This window comes from Homo sapiens, chromosome 2 (assembly GCF_000001405.40).
Source record: "Homo sapiens chromosome 2, GRCh38.p14 Primary Assembly".
NCBI lineage: Eukaryota > Metazoa > Chordata > Mammalia > Primates > Hominidae > Homo > Homo sapiens.
The window spans coordinates 201,957,910-201,965,554 of NC_000002.12; the positions used below are offsets into that span (position 1 = coordinate 201,957,910).

The 7,645-nt window shown below is 46.6% G+C and overlaps 3 annotated features.

The window, feature by feature from the left end:
• Window positions 4,742-5,242: an enhancer, noted in NCBI's record as "H3K4me1 hESC enhancer chr2:202827374-202827874 (GRCh37/hg19 assembly coordinates)". NCBI's record gives its function as "activates a minimal SCP1, AML or CMV promoter by ChIP-STARR-seq in primed H9 embryonic stem cells {active_cell/tissue: H9 hESC(primed)}" and the evidence as "EXISTENCE:reporter gene assay evidence [ECO:0000049][PMID:30033119]".
• Window positions 5,243-5,743: an enhancer, noted in NCBI's record as "H3K4me1 hESC enhancer chr2:202827875-202828375 (GRCh37/hg19 assembly coordinates)". NCBI's record gives its function as "activates a minimal SCP1, AML or CMV promoter by ChIP-STARR-seq in primed H9 embryonic stem cells {active_cell/tissue: H9 hESC(primed)}" and the evidence as "EXISTENCE:reporter gene assay evidence [ECO:0000049][PMID:30033119]".
• Window positions 6,756-6,845: an enhancer, noted in NCBI's record as "active region_16995". NCBI's record gives its function as "activates an Ori minimal core promoter by ATAC-STARR-seq in GM12878 lymphoblastoid cells {active_cell/tissue: GM12878}" and the evidence as "EXISTENCE:reporter gene assay evidence [ECO:0000049][PMID:35858748]".

Genomic DNA, 7,645 nt, shown 5'->3' on the forward strand with positions numbered 1-7,645 from the left:
TTAAATTACACCAATCTGATTTGTGTAGAAAATGTAAGACACTCAAGTTCATGAAGTGAGCTCCAAATGTGAAAACACTGAAAAAATGGATGCGTGGATCAAAGGCACAAGCATGCATATTAAAAACAAACAAACAAAAAACACTCTTCTACTTGAATCATTAAACTTAAAATTTTATAACACTGTAATCTATGCTCATTCAGATGCAAATTTCCAATTGTTGATGTATTTACATCCATTTCTCAAAGAATCAACACTTGGAATAAACAGTCATGCAAATAGTATCAGAAATTTCTTTTCTTTTTTTTTTTTTTTGAGACGGAGTCTCGCTCTGTCGCCCAGGCTGGAGTGCAGTGGCACGATCTAGGCTCACTGCGAGCTCCGCCTCCCGGGTTCACGCCATTGTGCCATTCTCCAGCCTCAGCCTCCCGAGTAGCTGGGATTACAGGTGCCTGCCACCACACCCAGCTAATTTTTTTGTATTTTTAGTAGAGACGGGGTTTCACCATGGTCTCGATCTCCTGACCTCATGATCCTCCCACCTCGGCCTCCCAAAGTGCTGAGATTACAGGCGTGAGCCACCGTGCCCAGCCCAGAAATTTCTTAAAGACTCAACTCAGATTTGTTTTTAAATTTATACTCTATGTGAAAATTTTTTAATTTAACTGACAAATAATTATGTACATTTATGGTATTCAACATGATGTTTTGGTCTATACATTGTAGAAACCTATACATTGTACACATTGTAGAAAGATTCCATAAAGCTAATTAATAACGTCTATTACCTTACCAATTTATCACTTTTTGGGGGGGTGAGAATGTTAAAAATATATTCTTTTAGCAATTTTGAAATATACAACATGTTAACTGTGTTCATCATGCAATGTAACAGATCACTAAAAGCAATTCAGATTTTTTTTTTTATACTTTAAGTTCTAGGGTACATGTGCACAACGTGCAGGTTTGTTAATGTGATCCCAGAGAATGTGATGTTTTCTGTATTTAAGAATAGATCCCAGAAACAAAATAACCATTGATAAAGAAACCTACTGTTACCATAGCATGCAAATACAGGCTTTAGCACTGAGGCAAAGGCTATCTGAGAATTGTGTTGGCAGCTTAAATGTCCATGGTTTACCAGGCAGTCATCTTTCTCATTTGCTACATGGAATACGTATGTCATGGCATAATGATATGTAGAAGCTGTATCATCACACTGAAAAAGCCCCTCAACCACTGCCTGCAAAATCAGCTTTGAATTGGCAAAGTAGACATCCCTAAACCTCAGCCTTCTCTCTCAAGCTAATTCCTCCAACATCAAGCAATAACTATTAAAGAGCAGCTGCTCCAGGTGACAGGTGACCAGCATGGCTGATTCCTAGCACATCTCTCTGAATTGGTCAAAGGCAAAAACGAAAAGCAAAACTAAACTAAAAACCACACACACACACACACACACACACACACACACGCATGCGCACACACACACACACACTCACACAGAGAAACCTTTCAAGATACTCTAAGGATAAACTCGAGAAATATGGGGAGTGTGATAAGAAGTAGCTTAGGTTCAGTTAATACACAGAGTAAGCACAAGACACATTACAGTGTCTGCATCAACAAAACGAAGGGAAAAATCCGCCTAAGCAGCAGATCATGGATCAAAACTCAAATTCCAGAGATTGTGGCAGTTGATTGGCAAAACCTGTCAATTCCAGACTGGCTTAAATTGTCGTTTAAGAACAGATGTCTTTTAGGAGTCAAGTATCTGAAGGCAATTAACTAATACTAACTCATTGGGCCACTCTAACTATGCCTGCTTGGCAATCAGTAAAAGCTTCCCAAAAGGATGGTGGCAGAGTACAATGGAAAATATGCTGGAAGCCAGAGAGGATGTGGGGAGACTGGCTTTCCCACCCATTGCCAGGGAATGTGGATGCCACAACATTTTTGGCAAGAGTCAGGCAGTACATATTAAAACTCACTTGCCCTTGGTACCAGCAGTCCCACCCTGGGAAATCTATCCTAAAGAAATAAATGCATCCAAGGGCAATAATATGTTGCAAGGCTATTACGTTGCAGTGTTGTGTGCACAAGCAAAAAACTAGAAACAAACTGAATGTCTCTCAGTATAGAAATAACTGAACATGCGACGGACATCTGTTGACTATTCATTCAACATCATCTGTCCCCTTCTTCTTTGCAACGGAAGCTTGATTCTGTTTAGGTGACCATTCCCAGGAAAGGAGACCTGTAGTCCCCACTCCAGAGGAAAATCTGTATTAGTCTAAAATGAAGTAGATTTGAAATCTACTAGTTCCACCCTGGTCCCACCATGTCCTAGCTGTACAACCTGGCTGTCACTCCACCTGCCTGGGGCCCCAGTTTTCTCTTCTGCAAAATGCCCATTCTTACACTTGCCCTGCCTAGATGGTAAGGTTTTTATTATGTAAAAGCATTTTGACAACTTGTAAGCATTCTACCAATTTAAAGAAGGATGGGTTTTGGATCAGCCTCTATGTGTGGATGTTGTGTCTGCACTCACCTCCAGGACGCCATTCACACCCGCCTCCTCAGCGCCACACTGTTCCTACACATGAGCTAAGCGGCAGCCAGCCAGGGCCCCAAGCTAGGCTGGCTTTCCAATGCTTTGTTTCCACCCAGGGCTCCAGCCAACACTTCGATTAACTTCTAACTGAAAAACGATGCCAGCTGTAGGACCCAGCTGCTCTTGCCTTCGATGGGATTTCTCTCAGGTTTTCTTTCTTGTGACTCATGACTAAGATGTCCCATCCGTATCCACCATCTTTCCAAAGACAATGTGTAAGATTTGCTTCCCGGGTCCAGTCCTCTCCCTACTCACAATCACACGTGCTGATTTAATCTCAGGAGACGTAAACATTTGCTGGACTTTCTCCATTTATCCCCATCCGTCCGCGGCTATCTTCCCCCACACACGCATTTCTATGTTCTCCTTTTCTCGACACCCACTGCTTTACCCATGCTGCCCTGCGTTCCCTTTATTTCTCAAACACTCAGTTTTCCTAAAATGCAGTTTCCCATTCTCTGGACATAGGAAACTTCTTGCTTCTTCTCCAATGGGGTAGGAATTAGTAAAATTTGCTCCCAAAGCTGCTGTTTCCTTTTTTTTTTTTCCCCAGAGAGATGCCATTTTGGGTGTGTGGTGTTTAAAGACCCAGGGCTGGGTCCCTTGGGGATGAGCTGGAATAATAAGGTTGCTGAACCAGACCTAACCCATTTGGTTATAACAGAAAGTTGTTTTCTACTGAGAGTGGCTTTGAGGCTGAGATGGAGGAACAACATATGGGGGAACAGGCAGAGGCGGGAGGCAATCACAGGGGGACCTGGAAGACCCACAGGGGCTGGCTCAGGGTTAAAGGGAAGCTGGGTCCTGTAGCAGGGTGCTGCCGGGTTGCCATTTGGCATTGATGTCTGGGGCCTCTAGGACTTTTTCCTTTAAGTTCCCCTTGTCCCCTGCCTAGCTTCACGATCCCTCCACAGTCCAAGGCAGAGGACCACAAAGAGATGTCACAGAGAGCACCTGGGTTGCAGTCAGCACACTAGGGTTTGCATTTTGACACTGCTCCTTCCTAGTGCTGTGGCCTCCAGTAAGTCACCTCTCTGGCCCTGGGGGCCTCCTCTATGAAGAGGGAACTGTAATACCCAGGAGGATCAAGGCGAACCAATGCATACTAAGGCTCCTGCTCAAGGTGTGGGCCTCTGCTGCACGAGGCCTACAAAGGAAGGGTTTGCAGTAGATTACAAGCAGCTCATTCTGAATCTGGGGAGAAAATGAGTCCCATTAGGGGAAAAACAAAGCCCTGCATAATAGGTATTAGCTGCAGCCCTACAGAGTCAATAAGAATTAGGTGGGTGATATAACGCTACCCTTGGATAAGTTTGCCCTAATTTTGGCAAGTTCCAGTCTAACCCTCTGAGGCTAGGTCTTTTCTCCCTGGATGGAGAGTTATTTCTTTAAAAGAAGAAAAGAGGCTGGGTGGGGTGGCTGAATCCCGTAATCCCAGCACTTTGGGAGGCCGAAGTGGGCAGATCACTTGAGGTTGGGAGTTTGAGACCAGCCTGGCCAACATGGTGAAAACTTGTTTCTACTAAAAAATACAAAGATTAGCCAGGTGTGGTTGCAGGCACCTGTAATCCCAGCTACTCGGAAAGCTGAGGAAGGAGAATCGCTTGAACCCAGGAGGCAGAGGTTGCAGTGAGCCGAGATCATGCCACTGTACTCCAGCCTGGGCAACAGAGCGAGACACCATCTCAAAAAAAAAAAAAAAAAAAAAAAAAGAAGAAGACGAAAAGAAAAGAGAAACTATTTTGTCATTTTGTATGCATATAAGCAAGAGGGAAGCATTTGTCTCTGTCCACATTACAAACAGAGCCCAGCTTGATGCCAGCATCCTCAACAACTGCCCCTATGTTACCTGAGGATTTACATGGTGCTCCAGAAGGAAGATCTTGGCCTAATCCAGATTCTGACACTACCTGTGTGACCACAGACTGGCCACTTACCCTTCTCTAGGGGCCTTATTTATTCATTTGAAACAAAATACTGGAATCAGGAGCTAAGGTTTCTTCCATCTCAGGCATTCAGTGATTCTGGTCCTTGGTGGGAGGCCTGGACCTTATCTCCCAGTGCAGAACTCCTCTCCCAGGCTGGGTCTCCCCAAGGAGACTGAGAGTTAACTGTGATAAGTTCTGAAGAACAAGAGTCCCACAGCCACCATCACCACAAGAAGAGGTCATCCAGGAACTCTGCCAATGGGTAGCAAGGCCAGTCTTGGTGGTGATGGGGAGGTGGGGATGGGAAGGTGGAGACTGTCCCCTCCCCACCCAAATCCTGCCTAGTGGCCTCCTCCAGTGCGCCACAAGAGGACTGAGTCTTGGTTGCTCCAGGCAGAAGAAGCTCCTCCCTGCACACCAGAGCTCCTCATTGTCCACAGACATGTCTCCCCATAATGACTTTAGTGAATGTGCCCCGAGGGCAAGATGATCATGTATTCCAGAGAGAAAGGAATACCCTCAACCACGCCTCCTGGGGGGTGGGGATGGCCAGGACCATTGTGGTGCTCCTGCTGGCTCCATTATAAACAGGGACAATGAGGTCAAGTTACACAGGAGTCCATATGTTCCACTGAAATTAGCCACAGGCCTCGATGCAGTCCGGTCTCAGAAAGAAAGTCACGACCTGTGCCCATTGTGAACATTTGATGCTAGCCAGGCCAGGAGTGGGAGCCAGCGGGGTGTGGGTCAGACCTTGACATCTCTGCCTCTTTTAGAGCCACAAAGCTGCTAGCAGCAGAGCAGATACAGTTTGTGGCAAGAAAATGAGAGAAGCACAGCGTTTTCATGGATCACAGGCATGGGGGAAAAGACACTTCAACTCCGTTGTGTGCTGACAGCTCATGTAGCCTGTCCCACCACTCCTCGGCTGGTCCCACGACCTGAGCCTCTGTCCACGGCCCCCTTCCGTTCAATGGTCTGCATTGTGCAGGAAATATCTTCCTTTTGTTTTTCCAACCATTTATACCTCGGCTCATTTGTTTTCTATTCTTGGGAGCAATTCATCTGCTCTTGGGCCCCACAATGTCTTTCTTCCCTTGATTCCTAGACAAGATGCTTGGACAGGTCCATTGTCTTAACAGTGGCCAACTCGTGGTATTTAATAAAAGTTGTGCTTTAAAAAGAAAAACCAATGGGGATTCCAGTTTTTATCCATGGTAACTTCTGAGAAATTTGGTAGTGGTGCTGCTCCTGTGTGGCTTGGCCTTTGTGCTTTTTGTTTGGATTTCAGGGGAGAGTTCCACAGGGATACCTGGGGAAATTTTCCATGATGCCAAGACAATGGGCAGAGTTCCTCCCCATTCCTCTCTGCCATCCTGGCAGATTGTAAAATTATACTCTATTGCTAGAATGAAGGAGAACTTGTATGGAGAGTCCTTTCTATTGCTCTGTGGACTACAGCCCTTCATGGTTGTTCAAGAAAAATGGATTTGGGGGCAGAAAGAGAAAAAGGCAGTGAGGTTCAGAGCAGTTTGGGCCCAGGCAGGCTCATATATGGAAGGGACAGAGGCTTACAATAGAAAGTGTTGCAAAGACCTGGCCTGGAAGTCCCAGAAAGGGTCTTAATTGTAAGTCATTTTGTCAATGCATCGCAGGCTTTTTTCTGGGTGCACCAGAGAAATTACTGTTGCTGGGATCATTAGGGGTGCAATTATCCCAGTTATTAATACACCACCAAACGTGGGAGGGGAGGGCGTGCTCAGCCCCATCCATGGGCTCCCCAGCTGCAGGTTTTCATTTCCCAACAGCACAGGAGGTCTCGTAGGGATCCACAGAATTGTCAAGATAACTACTGGCATCTCTTGGCTCCAACAGAGACTTGCACAGTATTATAGACAGAGGAAATGCCATTGAAGAAGTGGCTGTAAGATTCTTCAGGGTTGGGTCTCCTTGGATCTCTCACACTTTTTCCCTCAAAAATGTGTCACAGGTAAAGTAAGTATTTCCAAACAAAGCTTCAGGGTAGCATAAAAAGGGTCAGACTCTCCCTGCTCCACACAAGCCATGGGTTTCACGATGTCTATGTATCCATACATGCACGTGCCGTGTGCGCGCACACACACACACACACACACGCATCCCTTTGAACATGGTCACTGGTGGAGAATGAACGGCCTCTGCTCTAGCCTGAGCATCTGTAAGATGGTCAGGGGATGCCACAGGCCCCACTCATCTACAGGGAGGCATCTCATCGAGCCAGACTGCACAAAAGCACCTCCTCAACATGGTGGACGCTCAGCACTCTTGGCAGAAACACTTGGCACTGGCAGGAAATCTCAGCAGGGCGGCTTGTTTCCGCTCATCAAACACCAGTAGCTTTCACCGAGAGCAGCAGCAAATGGAAGAAATGTGTCTGATCACATCCGGGCTGTGTGTCAGCACTTTTCCGAGGCAGAGTTAGCTGGATTCTAGCTTTGAAGAAAAGGTTGTTACACTCTCTTTCTGTCCTGCAGTATCAGCCAAGAAGCAGGTGGCAGGGACTTACCTGACACCCAGCTGCCCTCCCAATGCCCCTGGGACAACCTGAGAGGGTCAGTTGAGAAACAGAAACTAATGACAGAGCCCACTCTCTCCCTGCTAAACACAGGGCTGCCAGCTACTCAGGAGAAATGAATGCCCAGGGACAAAATACTTGGGCCTCTCTTGTGCCTCCTCTGTGGCCATCCCAATAGCTTCCTGTTCATTCTGCTCTTGTTGGTCCCCCCAGCGGCTAGGCAGGGAGGGGAAGCAGAGTGTAGACCCCCATGCCTCAGTATGACTTGCGCCTGCTCAGCAGCTCCAACAGCAAGACTGGTGAGGAGATGCAATCTGTGAATTATCAGTGGGTCAGGTGCTGGAGGATGCCCAGGCATCCCCCAATAAGTAGCTGCTCTTATAACCAAGAAGCCACGCTACCCCCCATCATAAGAGGAGTAGGGGAGTAGAACAAAGATACCCTTGACCCCATTCCTTGCACCACAATCTCCTACCCAGACTAGAGAAGGAAGTGTCTATTTGCAAGGCGGGATTCGTGTGTTCCACACTTGGATTCACTCCTGTGGGC